At 45.4% G+C, this 27,339-nt stretch overlaps 1 protein-coding gene across 12 annotated transcripts in view, besides 3 other annotated features; it reads right to left on the reverse strand.

Annotated features, from left to right (window-relative positions):
• CFAP92 (cilia and flagella associated protein 92 (putative)) overlaps nucleotides 1-27,339 on the reverse strand; it is a 116,876-nt gene that overhangs the window by 52,945 nt on the left and 36,592 nt on the right. For 6 of the 12 annotated variants that reach the window (XM_017006945.2, XM_011513050.3, XM_047448638.1 and 3 more), the window contains exons 3-9: nucleotides 25,911-26,101; nucleotides 24,799-25,012; nucleotides 15,228-15,368; nucleotides 14,162-14,249; nucleotides 12,962-13,086; nucleotides 8,470-8,616; nucleotides 2,694-2,878 (exon numbers count right to left, since the gene is read on the reverse strand). In XM_017006945.2, the coding sequence (XP_016862434.1) occupies nucleotides 2,694-2,878; nucleotides 8,470-8,616; nucleotides 12,962-13,086; nucleotides 14,162-14,249; nucleotides 15,228-15,368; nucleotides 24,799-25,012; nucleotides 25,911-26,101 (1,091 nt within the window). Of the gene's footprint in view, nucleotides 1-2,693; nucleotides 2,879-3,771; nucleotides 8,617-12,961; nucleotides 13,087-14,161; nucleotides 14,250-15,227; nucleotides 15,369-22,521; nucleotides 22,621-24,798; nucleotides 25,013-25,910; nucleotides 26,102-27,339 lie in introns of those variants that run through there. The other 6 variants (NM_001348522.2, NM_020741.3, NM_001348523.2 and 3 more) reach the window with 3 other exon arrangements.
• Nucleotides 1,320-2,314: an enhancer, noted in NCBI's record as "H3K27ac hESC enhancer chr3:128682980-128683974 (GRCh37/hg19 assembly coordinates)". NCBI's record gives its function as "activates a minimal SCP1, AML or CMV promoter by ChIP-STARR-seq in naive H9 embryonic stem cells {active_cell/tissue: H9 hESC(naive)}" and the evidence as "EXISTENCE:reporter gene assay evidence [ECO:0000049][PMID:30033119]".
• Nucleotides 23,366-23,566: a silencer, noted in NCBI's record as "peak4825 fragment used in MPRA reporter construct". NCBI's record gives its function as "represses an SCP1 promoter by STARR-seq MPRAs in K562 erythroleukemia cells {active_cell/tissue: K562}" and the evidence as "EXISTENCE:reporter gene assay evidence [ECO:0000049][PMID:32103011]".
• Nucleotides 24,119-25,318: an enhancer, noted in NCBI's record as "CDK7 strongly-dependent group 2 enhancer chr3:128705779-128706978 (GRCh37/hg19 assembly coordinates)". NCBI's record gives its function as "activates an origin of replication core promoter dependent on BRD2, BRD4, P300/CBP, MED14 and CDK7 cofactors, with strong dependence on CDK7, by STARR-seq in HCT116 cells {active_cell/tissue: HCT116}" and the evidence as "EXISTENCE:reporter gene assay evidence [ECO:0000049][PMID:35650434]".

Below are 27,339 nucleotides of genomic sequence, written 5' to 3' on the forward strand. Positions count from 1 at the left end.
GCTTACAAGTTAGTTCAGAATCTGCGCCTTATCAACCAAATTGTTTTGCCTATCCACCCCGTGGTGCCAAACCCATATACTCTCCTATCCTCAATACCTTCCTCTACTACCCATTATTCTGTTCTGGATCTCAAACATGCTTTCTTTACTATTCCTTTGCACCCGTCATCCCAGCCTCTCTTTGCCTTCACTTAGACTGACCCTGACACCCATTAGGCTCAGCAAATTACCTGGGCTGTACTGCCGCAAGGCTTCACAGACAGCCCCCATTACTTCAGTCAAGCCCAAATTTCGTCCTCATCTGTTACCTATCTTGGCATAATTCTCATAAAAACACATGTGCTCTCCCTGCTGATCGTGTCTGATTAATCTCCCAAACCTCAATCCCTTACAAAAGAACAACTCCTTTCCTTCCTAGGCATGCTTAGTGCGGTCAGAATTCTTAAACAAGAGCCAGGACCACACCGTGTAGCCTTTCTGTCCAAACAACTTGACCTTACTGTTTTAGCCTAGCCCTCATGTCTGCGTGCAGCGGCTGCCGCTGCTTTAATACTGTTAGAGGCCCTAAAAGTCACAAACTATGCTCAACTCACTCTCTACATTTCCCAAAATCTATTTTCTTCCTCATACCTGACGCATATACTTTCTGCTCCCCGGCTCCTTCAGCTGTACTCACTCTTTAAGTCTCACAATTACCATCGTTCCTGGCCCGGACTTCAATCTGGCCTCCCACATTATTCCTGATACCACACCTGACCCCCATGACTGTATCTCTCTGATCCACCTGATATTCACCCCATTTCCCCATATTTCCTTCTTTCCTGTTCCTCACCCTGATCACGCTTGATTTATTGACGGCAGTTCCACCAGGCCTAATCGCCACACACCAGCAAAGGCAGGCTATGCTATAGTACAAGCCACTAGCCCGCCTCTCAGAACCTCTCATTTCCTTTCCATCCTGGAAATCTATCCTCAAGGAAATAACTTCTCAGTGTTCCATCTGCTATTCTACTACTCCTCAGGGATTATTCAGGCCCCCTCCCTTCCCTACACATCAAGCTCGAGGATTTGCCCCCACCCAGGACTGGCAAATTAGCTTTACTCAACATGCCCGAGTCAGGAAACTAAAATACCTCTTAGTTCAAATAGACACTTTCACTGAATAAGTAAAGGCCTTTCCTACAGGGTCTGAGAAGGCCACCGCAGTCATTTCTTCCCTTCTGTCAGACATAATTCCTCAGTTTAGCCTTCCCACCTCTATACAGTCTGATAATAGACCAGCCTTTATTAGTCAAATCAGCCAAGCAGTTTTTCAGGCTCTTAGTAGGTTTCAGTGAAACCTTTATATCCCTTACGGTCCTCCGTCTTCAAGAAAAGTAGAACGGACTAAAGGTCTTTTAAAAACACAGCTCACCAAGCTCAGCCACCAACTTAAAAAGGACTGGACAATACTTTTACCACTTTCGCTTCTACAAGGTACAGCCCATTTAAGCTCCTGTGTAGATGCTCCTTTTTATTAGGCCCCAGTCTCATTTGACACCAGACCAACTGAGACTGTGCCCCCAAAAAACTTGTCATCCCTACTATCTTTTGTCTAGTCATACTCCTATTCACCGTTCTCAACTACTCATACGTGCCCTGCTCTTGTTTACACTGCCGGTTTACACTGTTTCTCCAAGCCATCACAGCTGATATCTCCTGGTGCTATCCCCAAACTGCCACTCTAAACTCTTGAAGTAAATAAATAATCTTTGCTGGCAGGACTATGCTGAATCTCCTTAGGCACTCTCTAATCAGATGTCCTAGGTCCTCCCAATTCTTAGACCTTTTATACCTGTTTTTCTCCCTCTCTTATTCCATTTAGTTTCTCAATTCATCCAAAACCATATCCAGGCCATCACCAATCATTCTATACGACAAATGTTTCTTCTAACATCCCCACAATATCACCCCTTACCACAAGACCTCCCTTCAGCTTAATCTCTCCCACTCTAGGTTCCCACGCTGCCCCTAATCCCGCTTGAAGCAGCCCTGAGAAACATCGCCCGTTCTCTCTCCACACCACCCCCCAAAAATTTTTGCCGCTCCAACACTTCAACACTATTTTGTTTTATTTGTCTTATTAATATAAGAAGGCAGGAATGTCAGGCCTCTGAGCCCAGGCCAGGCCATCACATCCCCTGTGACTTGCACGTATACATCCAGATGGCCTGAAGTAACTGAAGATCCACAAAAGAAATAAAAACTGCCTTAACTGATGACATTCCACCATTGTGATTTGTTCCTGCCCCACCCTAACTGATCAATGTACTTTGTAATCTCCCCCACCCTTAAGAAGGTTCTTTGTAATTCTCCCCACTCTTGAGAATGTACTTTGTGAGATCCACCCCTGCCCACCAGAGAACAACCCCCTTTGACTGTAATTTTCCATTACCTTCCCAAATCCTATAAAACGGCCCCACCCCTATCTCCCTTTGCTGACTCTCTTTTCGGACTCAGCCCGCCTGCACCCAGGTGAAATAAACAGCCATGTTGCTCACACAAAGCCTGTTTGGTAGTCTCTTCACACGGACCCGTATGAGAATGACCACATTTCTCATGTGGGGCCATCAGGAGGACTAGAGGTGGCATGTGACGGGCAGGTGGGTGGAAGGGGAGGAGCTCTAAACTCCATGGGTCCGGCTCATTCTTACCTCTAGTTCCTGAATGGGTACAGGCTGTGATGGAAGGCAGGAAGCACACTTGATCTTTATGGTCAGGGGATTTAAATCCTGCTTTTGCTCCTCGGTCATGATCGGAACTTCTGTTTTTAAAGTCAAAAGGCAATCTAAAATGTTGGCAGACTTCTCACTGCCACGACTCACGACAGTTTGCCATCCTGGGGGAAATACACCCAGCATTAGACCTTTCCTCCCGACACCCCCAAGACACGCACAGAGGGATCAAGCAACCTGAGATGAGCCAATGATAAAATCACAACCCAAAAGTGAAAACTTTAATTAAAAAAAAAAAAGAAAAGAAAGAATTGGGAAACACCCACAGGCAGCATGACCTGTGCTAGTTTCTCAAACTGAGGTCCCGTAAATTCTCTAGAATTGAATTTGTGTGACTTAATCTTGATGACATCTTTTAAGAAGTAATACAAGTATTTCCTGAATCATCTAGGACACAATAGGAACACCTATGTGTGGGTGCCACTCCCAGACAGTCTGATTTAATTGGTCTGGGGTGTGGCCTCCACAATGGGAGGTTTAAAAGCTCTCCAGGTAACTTGAAAACCAACGTTCTAAACCTGTGCTATCCACTATGGTAGCTATGGGCCATAGGTAGCTACTTGAATTGTAACTAATTAAAATTAAATAAGATATAAAATGCACTTCCTTCCCCACACAAGCCGCATTCCAAATGCCCAGTACCCTCATGTGGCTATGGGCTCCTGTATGGGTCAGCAGAGAGCCTGGCCATCGTTGCAGGAAGGCTACTGGATGGAGTGCTCCAGGCAGTTCTCCCACCAAGGACATATCATGCCAGTGTGTACATTTGGTACTCAGTGGGTTGCTTCATCTGTTGTGATTTGATGAGGAAAGCACAGATACTGATGTAGAACACAACTGGCACATCTGAGCCAAATACAAGCGTGCATACCTCCCACCAGGGTGGTTTTGCACTAGTGCGCCTCGCAAAAAGGGTGGGTGAATTGAGCCATTGCAAGGCATATAGGTAGCTGTCAGAGCTGTCAGAATGCTTTTTCTTTTTTTTTTTTTTTTTTTTGAGACAGAGTCTTGCTCTGCTGCCCAGGCTGGAGTACAGTGGCACGGTCTTGGCTCACTGCTAGCTACGCCTCCTGGGTTCACGCCATTCTCCTGCCTCAGCCTCCCAAGTAGCTGGGACTACAGGTGCCCGACAACATGCCTGGCTAATTTTTTGTATTGTTAGTAAAGACGGGGTTTCACCGTGTTAGCCAGGCTGTTCTCGATCTCCTGACCTCGTGATCCACCCGCCTCGGCCTCCCAAAGTGTAGGGATTACAGGCGTGAGCCACCACACCCAGCCCAGAATGCTTTTTCTATAAAAGGTATCCATGTATTTCACCAGTCAGAGATGTACTAGGTAAGGAAAAAACAAAACAAATAAACAAAAAAAATCACCTCAAGTTTTGGAGGCAGGATTGACCTGGGTTTGAATCCCAGATCTGACTCTTTGTCATGTGATAAGCTAGAGTCTCCAAGGCTCAATTTCATCTTCAAAATGGGGATAGACACCACCTTCCTTGGGTTTAAAGGATTAAGAAAGATGATATATGAGATGGTGCTCAAAAAGATCAGTCTATTCCTTTCAACATGCCTGTAAATGTATTTCTAGGGCATGTAAAAGCCAAGTCGCTCACATTCAGAAAGAGTAGGCACTTCTAAAACAAGTCCCGGGCCAGGTGTGCACAGCCATCTGCACAGGCTGTGAACAGAGGCGTGCACAGCTCCTGGGGGTAGCCCTCATGCTCCCGCAGGATCCTCTTTAACAAAGCTGATTCATAAAAGCTGTCACCCATTACGCCTGTGTTCTATAATTTTGTGAGCCTTTTCACATGAAAGACTACCCAAGGGTAGGCCGGGTACGGTGGCTCACGCCTATAATCCCAGCAGTTTGGCAGGCCGAGGCAGGCGGATCACCTGAAGTCGGGAGTTTGAGACCAGCCTGACCAAAATGGAGAAACCTCGTCTCTACCAAAAATACAAAATCAGCCGGACGTGGTAGCGCATGCCTGTATTCCCAACTACTCAGGAAGGCTAATGCAGGAGAATCGCTTGAACCCGGGAGGCGGAGGTTGCGGTGAGCTGAGATCGCGCCATTGTACTCCAGCCTGGGCAACAAGAGCAAAACTCCGTCTCAAAAAAAAAAAAAAGACTACTCAAGGTAGAAGGAATCCCCATTGCAAAAATAAAAATAAAAAAAAAGTGCTCAAATCATCAGAGTCAGGGAGACATACACCAGAACAGAATTCCAGGCTGCGGGCTCACAGCCTCCACACTGCTGACAGTTGGGGCAGACCATTCTTTGCTCAGGGGACAGTCCTGTGCATTATGGCATGTTTAACAGTATCTTACTAGATGCCAGTGGCATCCCACTCTCAGTCGTGCCAACCAAAATGCCTCCACACACAGCCAAGTGTCCCCAGCAGACACAAGCCCCCTGAGTTAAGAGCCCTGGTTAAGAGTGGAATGGTGTAAGGGAATGTTTGTGCTCCTCCAACAGCCAGTCCCAAACATGCGCTAATGTCATTTCATCCTTAACCTTGTGTGGTTGCTGTCATCTCCACATTACAGATGGGGGAAATGAGGCCCAGAGTTCTGACGCAATCATCCAAGGTCTCTTAGAAAATACGTTGTAGAACCAGCATCCAAACCAGTTCTGTTGGGCTAAGTGGGGCCCCTCCGCTATGCAATACTATCCTTTTAAAATAAGAGCTCATTCCCAGACACAGAATCTTTCTAGAATCTTACTGGGTTACTAGCCAACCAATATTTACTAATAAGGTATACATACATGATCTATGGCCTAATTTGAAATTGAAGATGATTACCAAAAATAATTATGCTGGGCTTACAGTAAATAATCTTATGCTATTAGTTTCTGGCAAAACCAGACATACAACTGGCCTGCTGAGCTGACCCGTTCTCTGTCGATGACCATAGGCTATGTCATGGGTATAATGGAGCGGCCCACACACATGGCCTCAGGACAGCTGCTGCCTCCACACCTGCACCCCCTGGGTCCCACTGTGCTAGCAGTTTACACACGTCAGCTCCTGTGATCCTTAAAACAACGCTCTGAGGTAGGAGTAATCACCCCCATTTCACAGAGGAGGAAAGTGAGACTCAGAGAAAGTAGGTAACTTGCTGGTAAGTGGCTGAGCCATGATCAAAGTGTTTTGGTCACCAAAGTTCTTACATGTGAACCCCTGCACTGTACAGCATTGTACATGACGGGGCAGGTTATAGAGAGGGGAGGCTAGGTCCAGTGCGGTAGCTCACGCCTGTAATCCCAGCACTTTGGGAGGCTGAGGCAGGTGGATCACTGTCAGGCCTCTGAGCCCAAGCTAAGCCATCATATCCCCAGTGACCTGCATGTATACATCCAGATGGCCTGAAGCAACTGAAGATCCACAAAAGAAGTGAAAATAGCCTTAACTGATGACATTCCACCATTGTGATTTGTTTCTGCCCCACCCTAACTATCAATGTACTTTGTAATCTCCCCCACACTTAAGAAGGTTCTTTATAATCTCCCCCACCCTTAAGAAGGTTTTTTTGTAATTCTCCCCACCCTTGAGAATGTACTTTGTGAGATCCACCCCCTGCCCCCAAAACATTGCTCTTAACTCCACTGCCTATCCCAAAACCTGTAAGAACTAATGATAATCCCACCACCCTTTGCTGACTCTCTTTTCAGACTCAGCCTGCCTGCACCCAGGTGAAATAAACAGCCTTGTTACTTACACAAAGCCTGTTTGGTCTCTTCACACGGACATGTAAGACAATCACGAGGTCAGGAGTTCAAGACCAGCCTGGCCAAAATTGTGAAACCCCATCTCTACAAAAAATACAAAAATTAGCCTGGCATGGTGGCATGCGCCTGTAATCCCAGCTACTCTAGAGGTTGAAGCAGGAGAATTGCTTAAACCTGGGGGGGCAGAGGCTGTAGTGAGCCGAGATCGCGCCACTGCACTCCAGCCTGGGCGACAGAGCAAGACTCCATCTCGAAAAAAAAAAAAGAGAGAGGGGACCATGTCCTGGCTTCATTCTGCTGGAAACAGTCATGCCAGGCAGGCCCAAATGGTTGAACTTCTTTTTCCTCTCACAGTAAAATCCAAAGCGGGGCAGGTCCCATGGTACGCTCCCCCAGGAGGATCATGGGTTCCTCCTTGGGACTGTAGGACGAAGGAAGCAGCTAGCAAAGGCGTTCGCTCAAAGCTACTGTGTGCAATAGGTATGCTGGAGGGTCAGGCTGGAGCGTGGGGTGGGGTAAGACCCTCTGAAAGTTTACTCTCTGTCACTGTTGCCTCTCAAGAGGTTCTGATGCTACGAGAAAGTGAAGGTGATCAGGAAGGACAAGCTGTAGGTGAAGTATCATTTTCAAAAAGTCATTTAAAACTGCAAACTGCCAAATGCGGCAGCTCATGCCTGTAATTCTAGAACTCTGAGAGGCTGAAGCAGGAGGATTACTTGTGACCAGGAGTTTGAGACCAGCCTGGGCAACATAGCAAGACCTTGTCTCTACAGAAAATAAAAAAAATAGCCAGGTGTGGTGGTGTGCACCTGTAGTCTTAGCTATGCGGGTGGCAGAGGCGGGAGGCTTGCTTCAGGCTGGAGTGAGCTATGATCATGTCACTTACACTCCAGCCTGGGTGAGAGAGCAAGACCCTATCTCAAAAAAAAAAAAAGTGCAAACTGAAAAGTTAATAGCACTTTCTCAAACTGAATTGACACCAACCCAAGAGCGCGAGAGGAGGATGACGACTGGCACCTGTGGAACTGAACTGGAGGCTCTGACTTACGGGGTTTTTGCCCCCTTCTCTATGAATGCTGGTTCCAGCTCAGAAAAGACCAACGCACGCGCTTCTGCAGAGTAGCCAGGAGAGGGCGCACAAGACACGTGATGGCAAAAAAACGAACAAAGTCTGAATTTTCTCTAAAAAGAAAAAAAAAGGGGGGGAGTTCACCCCATATTACTCTTTTTTGGAACAAAGCAACATAATTTTACCAAAATATATGCTGAGCTTTCAATCATCAAAACATATTGATATAATATTTAGTTATGATTTACCAGTATGTATAAAGTCCAGTTCATAAATTGTGGTAGATCTTATAAAGCAAAATAATTAAATCCCTGTTTGGCCACTGAGCTGTGTGGGATTAGGAAAGTTACTTAACCTCTTTGAGTTCTTTTCCTCACTGAAAAAAATGGTAACTATGATAACCACCACAGCCACCACCACACCACAGGTTGGCTGAGTGGGTCAGAATTTGGTCTGAGAAGTAAGTGATGTGTCACACGGGAAGTGCCTGCACCCAGAGGGGCTCAGTCAAAAAGGGTTCCCTTTCCTCATTCCCTTTACTAGATGTTTTTGTAAAAATCTGTAGGAAAGCATTTATTAAAAGCAGCATCTTCTTAACAAACACAATGATGACATTTAATATTCCCATAGGCTTCCTTGGATTTTGGAATCAAACAGAGCTGGGTTCAAGTCCAGGCTTCACATTTCCTAGCTGTGTGATCTCAGGCAAGGTAGCTACCCTCTCTGGGCCTTTGTTTCCCCCTGTACTATGAAGCCAATTCCCCTGAGTTTCCTGAGGTGGCTGTGAGGATGAAATGAGGTGGCACGCAGCAGGGTTGTCATTAGGAGCATCCGCTTATGGCCGTTCTGGCCACAAGACAAGCAGGAGCTGCTGGGAACAGGGCAAGCAGTGGGTACCGGCAAGGAGCGGCATGACGGCCAGCTGGATGGAGAAAGCGCTCTGCTTCCTGGGGCCTGTCAGCGTGGGGTCTGCCTCTTCTTCTGCCAGGGGCTTCTTATGTCTCCTCTGGATTTTCCTTCTTCCCTCTGAATCTTTCCCTTTAACTGTGAAATCAAACAAAGGAGATGAGCATTAAGAGGAGACTGTATCTGAGCTGCCATATGTGGACCTGAACATGCTACAGAGATTCAGGAAGGTTCTGGAAGCTCCTAGAAGGCAGGGGTTATTCTTTGTGTGACTGCCTCTTCCCAGCAACCAGAAGTGGTGGCTAAATATAGATGGCAGGCCCGTTGCCAGTTATATGTAGTAATAGGGTGAGGGCCTCTCATTCCCCGCCTCTGCTAACTGAGAACACAGACAGAAGAGAACTAAGGTCATCATGACAATGATGCCATAACACACTCAAGGCTCTCTTCCAGTCAGCTCTTAATGTCAGTGCAGGGTGGACGGTGGGCTTTTTTAAGAGACCCTGCTCTTAAACAAACAAAAGCCCACAGTCTGAGCCTCAGTAACCTCACCTGTTATATGAGGGCAACAGCACCTGCCTTCTAGGACACTGAGAAGAGGAAATTAGCAACGCTACATAAAACACTCAGCTCAGTGCCAAGCTCAGACCAGAAGGAAAAGGAGATGAGAACACATATAAATCTACGGTCATCAAGACAAGACCAATGGGACAGACGAGAAAGCCCAGGAACAGACCCAAACACATAGGGGAACCTAACAGATGCCAGAAGTGGCATTTCAAATCAGTGGATAAGTTATATTGATTATCCATATGGGAGCAAATTAAGTTATTGAATTACTTCACGGCATATACAAAATGAATTCCAGACTAAAAGTATAAAACAAAAACTTTAAAATCATCAGAAGAATATCTAGGAGACTATACTGACATCTGGATGAAGGATTTCTTTCTTTTTTTTTTTTGAGACGGAGTTTCACTCTGTTGCCCAGGCTGGAGTGCAATGGCACGATCGAGGCTCATTGCAACCTCTGCCTCCTGGGTTCAAGTGATTCTCCTGCCTTAGACTCCTGAGTAGCTGGGACCACAGGCGCGTGCTACCACGCCCAGCTAATTTTTGTATTTTTAATAGAGATGAGGTTTCACCATGTTGGCCAGGCTGGTCTCGAACTCCTGACCTCAGGTGATCCATCTGCCTTGGCCTCCCAAAGTGCTAGGATTACAGGTGTAAGCCACCGCACCTGGCCTCTTTTTTCTTTTTTTTAAGAGGTGATGTTTCGCCCGAGTGTGGTAACTCACTCCTGTAAACCTGGCACTTTGGGAGGCTGAGGCAAGTGGATCGCCTGAGGTCAGGATTTTGATACTAGCCTGGCCAACATGGTGAAACCCCATCTTTACTAAAAATAAAAAATTAGCCAGGTGTGGTGGCGGGCATCTGTAATCCCAGCTACTTGGGAGGCTGAGGCAGGAGAATCACTTGAACCTGGGAGGCAGAGGTAGCAGTGAGCCCAGATCGCGCCATTGTACTCCAGCCTGGGCTACAAGAGCGAAACTCAGTCCTTGAAAAAAAAAAAAAAAAGATAGAGAGATGATGTTTCACTATGTTGCCAAAGCTGGCTATGAACTCTGGGCTCAAGTGATCATCCCCTCAGTCTTGCAAGTAGCTTGGACTACAGGCGTGCACCAGCATACCCAGCTGAGGAAGGATTTCTTAAACATTCGTGAAAGTATAAACTAGAGAGGAATAGTTAAATAATTGGTGTACAAAACAAGATAACATAAATCAAGTCAAACGATAAGTTATATACCCCTGTCTGTGAGGATTACCATGCATATAACTGGCAATGTACAATTATCCAGATGTAAACACAAAGCTGGCAGATCAGTAAGACAATTTTTTTTAAACTAACAGAAAAATAAGCAAAGATATGAATAGGAAAATCACAGAAGAGTGTGACCAAATAAGCCTATGCAATGCTGCTCAGCCTCACCAGGAGTCAGGAACTAAACCATGCCCGTGCAGACCGGGGAGAACAGCAATCCTCAGGACTGCAAGCAGGGGGGAACAGATGCCGCCTGAGGCCGGGCCCGGTGGCTCACACCTGTAATCCCAGCACTTTGGGAGGCCGAGGCAAGCGGATCACCTGAGGTCGGGAGTTCAAGACCAGCCTGGCCAACATGGAGAAACTCTGTCTCTACTAAAAATACAAAACTAGCCAGGCATGGTAGCACATGCCTGTAACCCCAGCTACTCGGGAGGCTGAGGTAGGAGAATTGCTTGAACCCGGGAGATGGAGGTTGTGGTGAGCCGAGATCGCGCCATTGTACTCCAGCCTAGGCAATAAGAGCAGAACTCTGTCTCAAGAAAAAAAAAAAAAAAAGAGAGAGATGCTGCCTGGAGAGTAAACCACTAGCATCTAGCAATGGGGTCGAGGCTCACAGCCTGTGTCCCAGGGGTCCCACTGGGCCAATGCCGTGGACTCACATGTGTGCCCAGATGCTCACCATGGCAGTGCTGGAGAGCAAGAAATTGGAGACAACTCAGATCCCTGGCACGGGGACTGTGTGCATGCAGGACGGTCCACCCATAACACATGGCAAAATGCTAACACCTAAATTGTGAATATGTAGTTGTTGCATTTTCATGTGAACTTTCCTATCTTTATTTCAAAATAAAAAGAACGGTTTAAAAATCTCATTAAATGCTTAAAGCACATTTTTAAAAAGAGTGACACTTTTAATCCGGAAAAGACAAAAGTCAGGAGTTGAGAGGCATTCACATGTGAAAGTGTGACTTAGTCTTTGTGGACCGTAGGAATAGGAATGAGTTTTCTTCAACTGTGTCTCCAGCACCCAGCAGAGAGCCTGGCTCAAGCAGTCACTTCCCTCTGCAGCCATAGACTGTTGCACTAGAACCAGGCCAGTGTCAGGAAACAACAGATTAACTGATGGAGAGATGAGGAAATGATCTGTAGCAATTATAGCTAAAAGGACGTGAAATGGCCCATCCCAGGAGGCAGCAGTATACCCACTGGCTCTAGATTTTCCCACCTCACACTGGAAACACAACTTCTTAATGAGAAACTGGTGAGGGGATCTAAGCTGAGAATGAGGAAGTTGATTTAGTGGCTTCTGAGGGTTCTGCTCTCTTGACAGTATGTGAATAAGATTACATGCTTCTGCATGAACGGATCCCATAACACAGGATGCTGTGTTCTTCATTCCACCATAAGAGTGAACACTAGGCCAGGCACAGTGGCTCACGCTTGTAATCCCAGCACTTTGGGAGGCTGAGGCAGGCAGATCATTTGAGATCAGGAGTTCAAGACCAGCCTGACCAACATGGTGAAACCCTGTCTCTACTAAAAATACAAAAATTAGCTGGGTGTGGTGGTGGACGCCTGTAATCCCAGCTACTCAGGAGGCTGAGGCAGCAGAATTGTTTGAACCCAAGAGGCAGAGGTTGCAGTGAGCCAAGATTGCGCCATTGCACTCCAGCCTGGGCAATAGAGTGAGGCTCCCTCTCAGAAAAAAAAAGAAGAGAAGGCCAGGCGTGGTGGCTCACGCCTGTAATCCAGCACTTTGGGAGGCCGAGGCGGGCAGATCACGAGGTCAGGAGATCGAGACGATCCTGGCTAACATGGTGAAACCCCGTCTCTAATAAAAACACAAAAAATTAGCCAGGCGTGGTGGCGGGCGCCTGTAGTCCCAGCTATTCGGGAGGCTGAGGCAGAAGAATGGCGTGAACCCGGGAGACAGAGCTTGCAGTGAGCCGAGACTGCACAACTGCACTCCAGCCTGGGTGACAGAGTGAGACTCCATCTCAAAAAAAATAAAATAAAATAAAATAAAAAGAGTAAATACTTTATCTTTCAAGGAGAGTCTTTCCATAAACATGATTCTTTTATGCCTCCCCAACATACCACGTACCTACCCATACCACAACATCTATCACAAAGAATTGTAATTCTTTATTTGAAAGTCTCCATTAGATATTAGAGATTTTCATGTTCCCCATATGCACAACACCATGGGTCAAAAATATTGATGGAATGGAATGGATGATGAGGGTGAGTGAATGACATGAGAAGAAATGGAACAAATGGATGGATGGATGGAGATGGATGGATAGGGATGGATGGATGGATGGATGGATGGATGGATGGATGGATGGATGAATAAATGGAATGGGTGGGTGGACAGATGAATGGATGGGGATGGATGAATGAATGGATGGATGAATAGAGATGGATGGATAGATGGGGATGGACAGATAGATGAATGGATGGATGGGGATGGGTGGATGGATGGATAGACGGTAAGGATGGGATGCATAAGTTGAAAATGTATACAGTACTCTTACTTTTGAGAAACATTTTGTCAAATATGCAAGAATCTCATTGAAGTATCCTGAATTTAAAATATTTCATAATTATTCCAAGTCTAGTTATATTATAAAATTCCCAAATCCTATCCTAACTTACTTTGAGACCTTTGTCTGTCTAATATGTTTGTTAAGCTGCTAAGTGATTCACTCTCAATTAATTCCTTGATCTCCATCATGCTTGCTCCTGCCAAAGAAATGGTTGGTGTTCTTGAAACACTCCATCTAGAAAATTCACAAAGAGAAAAATTAATGAAGGTGAAAAAAATCAGGGGCCAGATCTGAGAATCTATTTACTGATGGACTAAATGAGAGCAGATTTTTTAAAAACCTCATAGTGCATTCCTCTAACCCAGTGCTTCTCAGTTTTCAATGTGCCTGTGAGTTACCTAGGGATTTTGTCAAATAAAATGTAGACTCTGGTTCAGTAAACCAGGGGCAGGCCTGAAATTCTCCATTTCTACCAAATCCCCCCTAATGCTGACACACTTGGTCTGCATTCAAGATACTAACAAACTCAAAAATATGATGGAAAATAATATATTTTAATAAAAATAACCCAAACTATAAAACATCTAAGAATTCACTTATAGGAATTATCCACAACATTTATAGGCAGAACAAATGAACTCTATTAAAGGACATAAGGGGGGTCTGAACTGAGTGAAAGGATATATACCATGATCATGGATGAGACACCTTAACAATGTAAAAATGTCAATTCTTCCCAAATTAATCTATATATTCAATACAAAAACAATTTTTAAAAATCAAAATTGCTTAAAGACATGTTCTCTCGGTTCTTCTCATTCCATTTCCCAAAACCACCAGCTGAGCTTCCATTCTCTCCCTTGTCCCCATAGCATCCAAGGAGTCTCCTTCTCCAGACCCTTCTTGGGCTACCAGAGACCCTAAGAGCAACTGACCTCATGCAGGATGGCTGGAGACTCAGGAGTCTGAAGGTGTGGGTTGGAAACCTGGCTTAACCAGGAATTCTGGTTTATCACTTTGTGTAAACCATTTAATTACTCAGTCACCTTTTTAGGAAACGGAGATAGTCATACCACCTCACAAAGTTATCATTATGAGGATCAAATGAGATAAAATAATGCATGCAGAAAGCTTGATGTGCAACATGTACTCATAAACACAAGCTACCCCTTCCCTGTTAGCTTAAGTTAGCCTGGATTGCATGAGATCCAGTTTAACTGGATTTACTAAAAAACCTACCACGACTCATAGTAGGGCTAGTACAAGAGGGGCTCCACTCCCACCACCCAAAATATCGTTCAATCCTTACTGAATCGTGGAAGAATCGTCCATTTTGAGGGACTTCTCATATTCCTCACTGTTCTTGGAAGAAGTTTCGGGCTCTGCTTGGTGAGAACCTGAAAACAGTAGCAAATATTTCCAAGCTTTTTGTTACATGCTAGTTCACTAAGAAATGAGGGCCCCTGACCCATTTCTGTAATGTCAGTCTCTATGCAGAAGGCCTGGGATGTGGTAAGGCCTGGGATATTGTTAATAACTGAGTGAATGAATAAACATACAGACTAATATTTGATTATTTGGATAAATGTAGTCAAGAGGAGACCTCCAGTTCCTTACATAACAGCCCACAGAGAAAAAGAAGAAAGTCTATTATCTATTAAATTGTCCATTTCAGTCCTGTTTACATTAGAGAATAATGAAAACAGTCCTAAGTTCCCAACCATAGGGAATGGTTAGCAAATTACAGTCTGCCCAGCAGATGAAATACTACATAGCCACCACACTACAATGTTACATAGATTGCTCCTCGTGATGAAATTGTTTTCCCTGTTTGTTTTATACTTTTATCTATTCACTGAATTTTCTAAAAACCACATATACAACTTCCACAGTCAGAAAAGTTTTTCGGACCAGGTGCAGTGGCTCACACCTATAATCTCAGCACTTTGGGGGCTGAGGTGGGTGGATCACTTGAGGTCAGGAGTTCAAGACCAGCCTGGCCAACATGGTGAAACCCCGTCTCTACTAAAAATACAAAAATTAGCTGGGTGTGGTAGTGGGCGCCTGTAATCCCAGCTACTCGGGAGGCTGAGGCAGGAGAATCACTTGAACCCAGGAGGCAGAGGTTGCAGTGAGCCAAGATCGTGCCATTGCATTCCAGCCTGGGGGACAAGAGCAGAACTCAGAATCAGTAACAAAAAGTAAGCCATGCAGCAAGAGCAATACAGCCGTGTGGCAGGGTGAGCCCCGCCCGCCTCTGCTGCCAATACACAGGAGGGACGCCCATGCAGATGCATTGCTCCAGCACACCACACAACCGCTTTCCCTGCCATCGCCTTGCACTCAGCTTGTCCACAAAGGCCTTCTCCGCTCACCTTGCAAAGACTTTGGGTGTTTTTCTGTTTTTTCTTGTTTTCCTGGCGGATGTTCCTGGTTCGACTCTTCTCTGACAATGTTGGTATTCTCAATGCCCTGTTCAGATAATTTTCTCTGATTTAAAACCAAATGTCTCACTTCTAGAATGCAGGAGAAGAAAGGATCATTGACTCAATCAATCCAAAATATTTATTGAATTAACTACTATGGGCATTTCTTGGAGACACTGGGCGTTCGGTTTCAGACTACACTAAAGTAAATATCACAATAAAGTGAGTCATACATTATCTTCCCAGTGCATATAAATTATGTTTATATCATACTGTAGTCTATTAAGTGTGCAAAAGCATTATATCTAAAAAAAAATGTACATACCTAAGTTTAAAAAATACCTTATTGGGGCCAGATACGGTGGCTCATGTCCGTAATCCCAGCACTTTGAGAGGCTGAATTGGGAGGACTGCCTGAGCCCAGGAGTTTGAAGCTGCAGGGAGCTGTGACTGCACCACTGCAGTCCAGCCTGGCTAAGAGATAGAGACTCGTACTGGTACCAAAACAGAGAAATAGACCAATGGAACAGAACAGAGCCCTCAGAAATAATACCACACATCTACAACTATCTGATCTTTGACAAACCTGACAAAAACAAGAAATGGGGAAAGGATTCCCTATTCAACAAATGGTGCTGGGAAAACTGGCTAGCCATATGTAGAAAGCTGAAACTGGATCCCTTCCTTACACCTTATACAAAAATTAATTCAAGATGGATTGAAGACTTAAATGTTACACCTAAAACCATAAAAACCCTAGAAGAAAACCTAGGCATTACCATTCAGGACATAGGCATGGGCAAGGACTTCATGTCTAAAACACCAAAAACAATGGTAACAAAAGCCAAAATTGACAAATGGGATCTAATTAAACTAAAGAGCTTCTGCACAGCAAAAGAAACTACCATCAGAGTGAACAGGCAACAGAATGGGAGAAAATTTTTGCAACCTACTCATCTGATAAAGGGCTAACATCCAGAATCTACAAAGAACTCAAACAAATTTACAAGAAAAAAACAACCCCATCAACAAGTGGGCAAAGGATATGAACAGACACTTCTCAAAAGAAGACATCTATGCAGCCAACAGACACATGAAAAATGCTCATCATCACTGGCCATCAGAGAATGCAAGTCAAAACCACAATGAAATACCATCTCACACCAGTTAGAATGGCGATCATTAAAAAGTCAGGAAACAACAGGTGTGGGAGAGGATGTGGAGAAATAGGAACACTTTTACACTGTTGGTGGGACTGTAAACTAGTTCAACCACTGTGGAAGACAGTGTGGCGATTCCTCAGGGATCTAGAACTAGAAATACCATTTGACCCAGCCATCCCATTACTGGGTATATACCCAAAGGATTATAAATCATGCTGCTGTAAAGACACATGCACACGTATGTTTATTGCAGCACTATTCACAATAGCAAAGACTTGAAACCAACCCAAATGTCCAACAATGATAGGCTGGATTAAGAAAATGTGGCACATATACACCATGGAATACTATGCAGCCATAAAAAAGGATGAGTTCATGTCCTTTGTAGGGACATGGATGAAGCTGGAAACCATCATTCTCAGCAAACTATCGGAAGGACAAAAAAACCAAACACCGCATGTTCTCACTCATAGGTGGGAATTGAACAGTGAGAACACTTGGACCCAAGAAGGGGAACATCACACACCGGGGCCTGTTGTGGGGTGGGGGGAAGGGGGACGGATAGCATTAGGAGATATACCTAATGTAAATGACGAGTTAATGGGGGTAGCACACCAACATGGCACATGTATACATATGTAACAAACCTGCACGTTGTGCACATGTACCCTAAAACTTAAAGTATAATAATATATATATATATATATATATATAAAAGAAAAAAGAGAAAAAGAAAGAAAGGAGGGAAGGAAGAAAGGAAGAAAAGGAGCGAGGGAAGAGAGAAAGGAAGAAAAAGAGAAAAAAATACTTCATTGCTAAAATATATTACAGGCTGGGCACAGTGGCTCATGCCTGTAATACCAGCACTGTGGGAGACTGAGATAAGAGGATCGCTTGAGGCCAGGAGTTCAAGACAAGCCTAGGCAACATGGTGAAACCTTGTTTCTACAAAAAGAAAAATAGCTGGGCATGGTGGCATGCACCTGTAATTCCAGCTACTCGGGAGGCTGAGGTGGGAGGGCTGCTTGATTCTAGGAGGTCAAGGCTACAGTGAGCCATGATCACACCACTGCACTGCTGCCTGGGGGACAGAGCAAGACCCTGTCTCAAAAAAAAAAAAAAAAAAAAAGCTAACACTCATCTGAGCCTGTGGGTAATCATCTTTCTGCTGTGGGGGTCTTACCTCAATGTTGACAGCTGCTCAGTGATCAGGATGGTGGGTGCTGAGGGCTGGGTTCACCTCACCATGAATTTGCCTGCATTGATCAACTCTTCCTTTCATGAACGGTTTCTCTGTAGCATGTGAAGCTGTTTCATAGCATTTTGCCCACAGTAGAACGGCTTTCAAAATTGGAGTCAATCCTCTCAAACCCTGCCACTTCTTTATCAACTAAATGTGTGTACTATTCTAAATCCTATTGTCATTTCAACAATGTTCACAGCCTCTTCACGAGGAGTAGATTCCATCTCATCTCAAGAAATCACTTTCTTTACTCATCCCTAAGAAGCAACTCCTCATCTGTTCAAATTTGATCATGAGACTGCAGCAATTCAGTCACATCCTCAGGCTCCACTTCTAATTCTAGTTCTCTTGCTGTTTCCACCACATCTGCAGTGACTTGCTCCACTGAAGACTTGAACCCTTCAGAGTCAGCCATGAGGGCTGGAATCCACTTCTTCCAAACTCCTGTTAATGTTGATGTTTTTACCTCCTCCCATGAATCACAGATGTTTTAAAGACATCTAGAATGGGGAATCCTTTCCGGAAGCTTTTTCTTTCTTTTTTTTTTTTTTTCGAGGCAGAGTCTCGCTCCGTCACCCAGGCTGGAGTGCAGTGGTGCGATCTCGGCTCATTGCAAGCTCTGCCTCCCAGGTTCACGCCATTCTCCTGCCTCAGCCTCCCAAGGAGCTGGGACTACAGGCGCCCACCACCACACCCGGCTAATTTTTTGTATTTTGAGTAGAGACAGGGTTTCACCACGTTAGTTAGGATCGTCTTGATCTCCTGACCTCGTGATCTGTCCCCCTCGGCCTCCCAAAGTGCTGAGATTACAGGAGTGAGCCACCGCGCCTGGCCTTGTTTTGTTTTTGAGATGCAGTCTTGCTCTGTCACCCAGGCTGGAGTGCAATGGCACAATTTCGGCTCACTGCAACCTCCACCTCCCAGGTTCAAGCAATTCTCTAGCCTCAGCCTCCCAAGTAGCTGGGATTACAGGCACCTGCCACCACACCCAGATATTTTTTGTATTTTTAGTGGAGATAGGGTTTCACTATGTTGGCCACACTGGTCTCAAATTCCTGACCTCAGGTGATCCACCCACCTCGGCCTCCCAAAGTGCTGGGATTACAGGCTTGAGCCACCGCACCTGGACTTCTAGAAGGTTTTCAATTTACTTGGCCCATATCAATCAAAGGAATCACTATCTATGGAAGCTATGGCCTTATGAAATGTGGCTTTTAGATAATAAGATTTGAAAGTCAAAATTACTCCTTGATCCACAGGCTGTAGCATGGATGTTGAAACCAAAGTCACCTCTTTGTACACCTCCATCAGAGACCTCAGGCAACCAGGTGCATTATCAATGAGCAGTCATATTAGAAAGGAGTCTTTTTCTAAGCGGTAGGTGTCAACAGTTGGCTTTAAATATTCAGTAAACCATGCTATAAACAGATGTGCTGTCATCCAGGCTTTGTTGTTCCATTTCTAGAGCACAGGCAGACTTAGCATCATTCTTAATAGGCTCTAGGGTTCTGGGAATGGTCAATGAGCATTGGCCTCTACTTTAAGTCACCAGCTGCACTGTCCCTATCAAGAGAGTCAGCCTGTCCTTTGAAGCCAGGCATTGACTTCTCTCTAGCTATGAAAGTCCTAGATGGCAGCTTCTTCCAGTAGAAGGCTGTCTCATCTACTCTGAAAATCTGTGGCTTAGTGTAGTTGCCTTCATCAGTGATCTTAGCTAGATCTCCTAAACAACTTGCTGCAGCTTCTCCGTCAGCACTTGCTGTTTCACCTTACACTTTTATGTTATGGAGATGGCTCCTTTCCTTAAACCTCATAAACCAATCTCTGCTAGCTTCAAAGTTGTCTTTTGCAGCGTCCTCACCTCTCTCAGCCTTCATGGAACTGAAGAAAGTTAGGGCTTTGCTCTGGATTAGGCTTCAGTTAATATTGTGGCTGGTGTGATCTTCTATCCAGACCATTAAAACTTCCTCTGTATCAGCTATAAGGCTGTTTCACTTTCTTATCATTCCTGTGTTCACTGGAGTAGCACGTTTAACTTCCTTCTAGAACTTTTCCCTTACATCCTCAACTTGGCTAACTGTTCAGCACAAGAGGCCTAGCTTTCATCCTATCTAGGCTTTTCGATGTGGCTTCCTCACTAAGCTTAATCATTTCAAGCTTTTGACTTAAAGGGAGAGATGTGCAAGGCCTCCTTTCACTTGAACACTTTAGAGGCCATTGTAAGGTTATTAATTGACCTAATTTTGGTATTGTGTATCTCAGGGAATAGGGAGGCCTGAAGAGAGGGAGAGACAGGAGAATGGCCGATCACTGGAACCCTGTGTTCTGGAGTCAGAACACACACAGCATTTATCAGTTAAGTTCACCGTTTCACACACATGCAGTTCGTGGCACCTCCAAACATTTACAATAGTGACTTCAAAGATCACAGATCGCAGATCACCAAAGCAGATATAATAAGTGTGAAAAATCCGAGAATTATCAAAATGTGACAGAGACACAAAGTGAGCACACGAGGTTGAAAAAACGGCGTCAATAGACTTGTTCAACACAGGGTTGCCACAAACCTCCAATTTGGAAAACGCATGATCTCTGTGAAGCCCAATAAGGCAAAGCATTATCAACCAAGGTATGCCTATAAGTGACACTCACTTTCCTCTGAAGAAGATGAAGCAATGGATAAGGCCCCTGTTCTCCTGGAGCTGCTGCCTCCAAATTCCAGGAAACTCAAAACAATAAGCACACATGTCTGGGATAGGCACACATGTTGAGGTTCTCAGACCTCAGCAGGCCAGCAGCCTCCTCCAAATGCGAGCATTGAGCCTGTGACATGTGCTGCCCCACTCGCTCCTAGAATTCCACTTTAAGGAGGGCAGTAACATTCCCCATCTCACAGATGAAGATCTGACACTGAAGTAACTTTCCTGTGGTCAGAGAGGTAGTCCTTAACAAAGCCAGGACTGCACTCAGAGTGCCTTGTCCCCAGCCAGAGTGTCAGCTCCTCAATGCCTTTCATTTCTATCCCTAGAGGCCTCGCATGCACATGGCAGCCACCAAGAATGGGTAGGATAATGAATGAATGGAGGAAGTGAATTGACAAATGGAGATGAAAGACGCTACAAGAAAGAAGTGGAAAAAAGGAGGTGAAATTGGATTCAGTGTTGAATTATAGATAACATTTTTGGGGAAAGAGATGAGGCTGGGAGCCGTGGAAGAATGCCCAGCTGGCTGGAGGCAGGCCTTACCACAAGGGAGAGCCACGTGTCTGCAGGGACCAGGAGGTGGGCTGTGGTGTGAAGGGGCAGTGGCAGTGAGGAGGAGGCTTGGAAACAGATTGTAAAATGCCTTCAAGGCCAGAACCACTTGGTTCTCTAAAGGCCCTGGGGCAGCCATGAACAGCTGCAGAGCAAGGCAGCACCAGGGCCGAAGGGGAGACAGAGAAAGGCCAGGCCGGCAGGAGAGAGGAGGGGGAACAAACCTGAGTGCAGAGAAAGCCAGAGGGCAGGAGGGAAAAGACAGCTGGGCAGAGAGCTCTCAAGAACAACAGGCGGGGGACACCCACTGGGCACCAGGTGGGGGTGCCCAGAATTGAGAGCATAGGAGTAATTAAATATGACTGGGGGGCTTTGAAAAGAATGCTGTCTTCATCCAGTCCTGAGAAATCGAGCAGACGAGCAGATTAAAGGGAAAAGAAATGCTGAGTGTGATGGTTAATACTAAGTGTCAACTTGATTGAAGGAATGCAAAGTATTGATCCTGCTTGTATCTGTGAGGGTGTTGCCAAAAGAGATTAACATTTGAGTCAGTGGACTGGGAGAGGCAGACCCACCCTCAAGCTGGGTGGGCACCATCTAATCAGCTGCCAGCATGGCTAGAAGAAAGCAGGCAGAAGAACATGGAAGGAGCTGACTTCCTGAGTCTTCCGGCCTTCATCTTTCTCCCATGCTGGAGGCTTCCTGCCCTCAAACATCAGCCTCCAAGTTCTTCAACTTTTAGACTCTTGGACCTACACCAGTGGTTTGCCGGGGGGCTCTCAGGCCTTCGGTCACAGACTGAAGGCTGCACTGTCGGCCTCCCTATTTTTGAGGTTTTGGGACTCGGACTGGCTTCCTTGCTCCTCAGCTTGCAGACGGCCTATTGTGGGACTTCACCTTGTGATCATGTGAGTCAATACTCCTTAATAAACTCCCTTTCATATATACATCTATCCTATTAGCCCTTCCCTCTAGAGAACACTGACTAGTACACTGAGTCAGATTAGGATGTTTCTTCAAGACCAGCAGGCTGAATGCTAACAAGTTCTGGCATGTGACCTACCAGGCATCCAAGAAACATCCTATCCCCTTCATAACATGAGGCAGAACTCTTACAGCATTTCTGCACTCCCAAGAAATAAGAGTTTCTGTAAGAAATCTTTTTACGTGAGAAAAGGCAGGACTTAAGACAACATGTACACTAGATTCACAGGAAAAATGTTAACAATGGCTATCTCTGGACAGGAATCATGTGGTTTTAATTTTTTCTCTTTTTTGCTAGGTGATATCTAAATTGTTTTACAAAGTGAATTCGCACTGCTTTTTTAATGGGGAAAAACTTATTTAAATAAGAAGCAGTGATGCTAAGCTTGGGACAGGGTTCAGGAAGGAGCAGGTGCTGTCATTGCAACGTTTCACAGTGCTAGGCATAGTGGCTCACGCTTGTGATCCCAGCACTTTAGGAGGCCAAGGCAGGAGGATTGCTTAAGACCAGGAGTTAGAGACCAGCTTGGGTAACACAGTAAGACTCAATCTCTATAAAAGATAAAATTTAAAAAGTAGCCATGTGTGGTGGCACATACCCGTGGTCCCAGCTACTCAGGAGGCTGAGGCAGGAGGAATCACTTGAGCCCAGGAGCTCAAAGCTGCAGTAAGCTATGATCACATCACTGTACTCCAACCTGGGCAACAGAGTGAGACTGTCTCAATCAATCAATAAGAATACTCATAGCAGGAGGCCCTAGAACACCTTTTCTCCTTCCTTTTCTGGCCACCAAATTCCCTTTACCCACCCAAACTTTGCTACTATGGCCCTTCCTCCAGGAATCCTTCCTGATACTCCCACCTCAACACCCTACTCCAGTGAAAGCCCACTGCAGGGCAGATACTAACCAGAAAGTCTGGCTCAGCAGATCCAAACAGGCCTGGAATCTGCATGTAAGCATCTGATGCAGGTGGTCCACAACCCACACTTTGAGGACATGGTTCTTTCCTATAGTCCAGGTGAGAAAAATTACCTTGAATCCCATTTTCTCACACTGGAAGCCTACGACTTGTAGTGTAGGTATATATATCAGTGTTTCTCAGCCAGGGGTGATTTTGACCCCCAGGGAACATCTGGCAATGTCTGAAGAAATCTGATTGTCACAACTGGCAGGCTACTACTGGCAGCTAGTGGGTAGAGGCCAGAAATGCTGCAAAACACCCAGCAATCCACAGAACAGCCCCCACAGCGAGGAATTATCTGGCCCAAAATGTCAATAGTGCCAAGAGTAAGAAACCCTGGACATAAATGAAAGACTGAAAGTGGGAAGTTCCAAGCCTCCAAGGTCAGAAAGGCTCCTTGAGAAGGTGGGCTGGAAAATCAGAGAAAAGCAAGGCTTTCCAGCCACACAAAATTGAGGATAATTATACTCGTCTGGAAGGTGCTGACAACGATAATAGTACCATATATCATTGATTCTAATATGTACATCTGTTTTACTTTTTTTTTTTTTTTTTGAGATAAGGTCTTGCTCCATCACCCAGGCTGGTGTGCAGTCGTACAAACACAGCTTACTGAAGCCTCGACCTCCCAGGATTAAGCAATCCTCCCACTTCAGCCTTCCAAGAAGCTAGAATTACAGGAGCACGTCACCATGCTGGGCTGATTTTTAAATTTTTTATAGAGACAGGGTCTTGCCACGTTACCCAGGCTGGTCTCAAACTCCTGCCTCAGCCTCCCAAAGTGCTGGGATTACAGGCATGAGCCACTGTACCTGCCTTTTTTTAATTTTTAACATCTCTAAGCATCAGGATGCATCTTACAATTAATGCCATGTCATAGTTTAGTTAGTAGCATTTAATTACAGTTCTTAAATTTTCTATAGACAATGCACACCCTCATTGCTTGCACCCAGGTAGACCACGCCGGTCAACCTGCCTCCAGTATTCCAGTGAAGCAGGTACTAGTTATTTTTCCTTTTTTGCAGATGAGAAACGTATGTTCAGGAACATGCCCAAGTCACCAACAAGTACAAGATGGAGACAGGACTGAATTCTACCGTCTGGCTTCAAAGCCTGCATCTTTCCATCCCTCCTGGCTCTCTCCTTCAAAATGAGTTCAAAAGACTTTCTGACATTGGCTGGGCACAGTAGCTCACACCTGTGTTCCCAGTACTTCGAGAGGCCAAGGTGGGTGGATCACCTGAGGTCAGGAGTTCGAGACCAGCCTGGCCAACATGGCGAAACCCCGTCTCTACTAAAAACACAAAAATTAGCCGGGCGTGGTGGCGCATGCCTGGAGTCCCAGCTGCTCAGGAGGCTGAGGCAGGAGAATGGCTTGAACTGGGGAGGCAGAGGTTGCAGTGAGCCGAGATCGCACCACCGCACTCCAGCCTGGGCGACAGAGCGAGACTCCATCTCGAAAGAAAAAAAAAGACTTTCTGATATTGATATATTTACACAAATGAGTCTGGAAGAGTCTACATGAGACTCTTAAGACAATTGGCTTGGGGTGGTGGGATTTTTAAGTTTTCTCTTTTGTTCCTTGGTATCCTCTAAGTTTGTTTTTTGTTTTTTTTTTTCAGTGAACATATAATACTAGTCCAGACCGGTGATGGGTGCCTGTGTCAGAGCTGCCCTGGAATGAAAGGGCCCAAAAGGTGGAGTTTCAAGAACACTGCCCACCACACCCTCACTCCCCTATGTGGCGCTTCCTGTCACCACAGCATGGCCTGGTGGGATGCCCTGCAACATCTGCAAAACCCGTGTGTGCACATGCCAATTAGATGAAGGAAACCAGGAGACACTGGCTTTTATGCTGTTACTAGTGAGTAAGCCCCAGGCTTCCAGAACCATTTCAAATAAAACCAGAGCACCTGACTTATGAAAAGCTCCCACGTCGTCTGTGAAGCCGGCAGTCTTTAATCGGTAATATCTGACTTTTCTTGACATCTTGTCTTTAGTGTTCCAGAGCCTCAAGGTGATTTTGTGGAAATTTATTTTCTTTAATAATTCCTTTGTCACAGTGATATTAAAAGTCTGCTCCCACGACACCCAGGCTTTGTCACCTTCGTGCCACGGCTTCACAGTCTGTGTAAAACAACATTCAGAGATGTCAACTGGGGAAAGATGTGCAAAGGCCGTGGCGAACAGAGCAAGCCCCAGCCCCAGCCTGGCCCTCAGCAGCAGCGCTGCCTGACTTCAGTGCCTGGTCACTCTCCAGGCTCTGAGCTCAGGGAAAATGGGGCGTTGTGTGCTGGGCCCTGTCAGACTTTTGAATTCCTTAGGAAGAATAAAATCAAAGTAATTACCTGCAAATAGCATCCTCCTCGATTGCTTCTAAGCAATGACCCAGGGCCAAACCACTGGCAGGAGTGTGTGTGTGCAGGTAGTGTGTACACACACATGCACACACACGTCTGCACACATGCACACACACAGAAAAAAGAAATCTCAAGAACTACAAAAACTTTTGAAACATTCTGGAAATTACTGGGTAAAATATCTAAATAAAAAATAGGCCAGGTGCGGTGGCTCACGCCTGTAATCCCAGCACTTAGGGAGGCCAACGCGGGAGGATGACTTGAGGTCAGGAGTTCGAAGCCAGCCTGGCCAACATAGTGAAATCCCGTCTCTACTAAAAGTACAAAAACTAGCTGGGCATGGTGGCTCGTGCTTGTAATTCCAGCTACTCAGGTGGCTGAGGCATGAGAATTGCTTGAACCGGGAGGCAGAGGTTGTGGTGAGCAAAGATTGCACCACTCTACTCCAGCCTGGGCAACAGAGCAAGACTCTGACTCAACAAAAAAAAAAAAGTCAGTAATTGGAATGATCAGGCCAGTGCAGATTCCCACTCAGGAGGTGGGGCCCGGGATCCTCCAATTCTAGCAAGCTGGAGGTGGAGCTGATGTTGCATATCCATGGAGCAGCACACTTTTCGTGATGAGCATCAGACCATACACAAGGCCACACACACTCACACACGCACCTTTACTCCTGACTCCAGGAATACTTTGGCCACCATTGGAAATAGCAATATGTCAACTTTTTTAGGTTCTTCATCGTCCGGCAGAAGGAAATACTCAATGTGGTAAAAACGACGCATCTTTGTAACAGAACTGTCTGTTTTAGGGTGTTTCTTATATTTTTCAATCAAACTTGCATATTTTCCCTTCTGACCTTGAAGATACAGATTGAAAAAGTCTCGTTTTAACCTCATGTGGAAAAGCAGACCCGTCTCCCCAGTTCCCTGGAGCTTGATGTTGTGAGAGGCTGAGCACTCCACATTGCCTGCCCGACTTGGGGAAGGAGGTACAGGTCCAGTGCTCCTAGCCAGCAGAGTAGCACGACCTGGACTGGGCACCTGAGTGCAAAATTTAGGTGCATGGTTTTCAGAGTGAGTGTCTCAGTTGGAGAGTGAGTGTTGGTTAGTAGGCCTAGGGTTAAAAAGGTGATAGAGTTAAAGTGAAATCACATGGCCAGGCCAGATGTTATTAGGAGAGACGCCATACTTGCCTTACCCTGGTCCCTCCTGGCCCTAAGAAGCAGGTAAAAAAAAAAAAAAAAAAAAATCACAGTACAATGTGATTTGTGCAATAATAGCAGCAGGAACAAGGTTGTGAAGAACGAAGGTGGAGGAGAAAACTCTGCATGGGGAGGGTGGGGTGGGCCTCCCAGGGGGACCTTAGCAGAGTCTTAGAGGAGCAAAGCTGGCAGATATTCCAGACAGACAGAGAAAGCAGCTTCACAAAAATGTCATGGGTGAAGCTACCCAATGCGGGGTGGATAGGGTGACAGGATGTGGAAGGTACAGATGGGCTTCTGCCAGAGTCCAGAGCCCAAGGAGCCCCCTGACCCCACCCCTGGTTGCTTACACTCCAGCTTAAACTGCACACTCTAGGTTGGGGCTTTTCACATCATAAGAAGCTCCATAAACATTTAATCCAAATATCATTCTATAAAAACATGACTGTCTTTAAAGCTGTAGTTTTTAAAGTCTAAATTTTTAACCCCAGGAGACTGCTGCAGCATTAATTTTTCTGCTACCAAAATAGTTAGCATTTGTGCAGAGATTGGAGTGAAGCTTCTCCTGCCAGTCTCTGGTAGCATTAGACCTTTTCTGATTCAATCCCAGGTGGGCCAGCAAGTGGACAAACAGAGCCTCTCATTTTCTGTAGACAGAAAGGCAAGTTATTTAGCCCTTTTAAAGGGGAAGTTGACAATATCTATCAAAAACTATTAATACATGCCTTCAATCCAGCAAATTTACTTCTTGGAATACAGGCAACAGAAGTGCCCACATATATGCACAAAAATGGACGTAAAGAATGTCTATCGCAGAATTGCAACAGAAAAACATTTGAAACAACTCAAATATCCACCAATAAGGGGTAGGATAAATTAGAGACATATAATGG

This window comes from Homo sapiens, chromosome 3 (assembly GCF_000001405.40).
Source record: "Homo sapiens chromosome 3, GRCh38.p14 Primary Assembly".
Classification (NCBI taxonomy): Eukaryota; Metazoa; Chordata; class Mammalia; order Primates; family Hominidae; genus Homo; species Homo sapiens.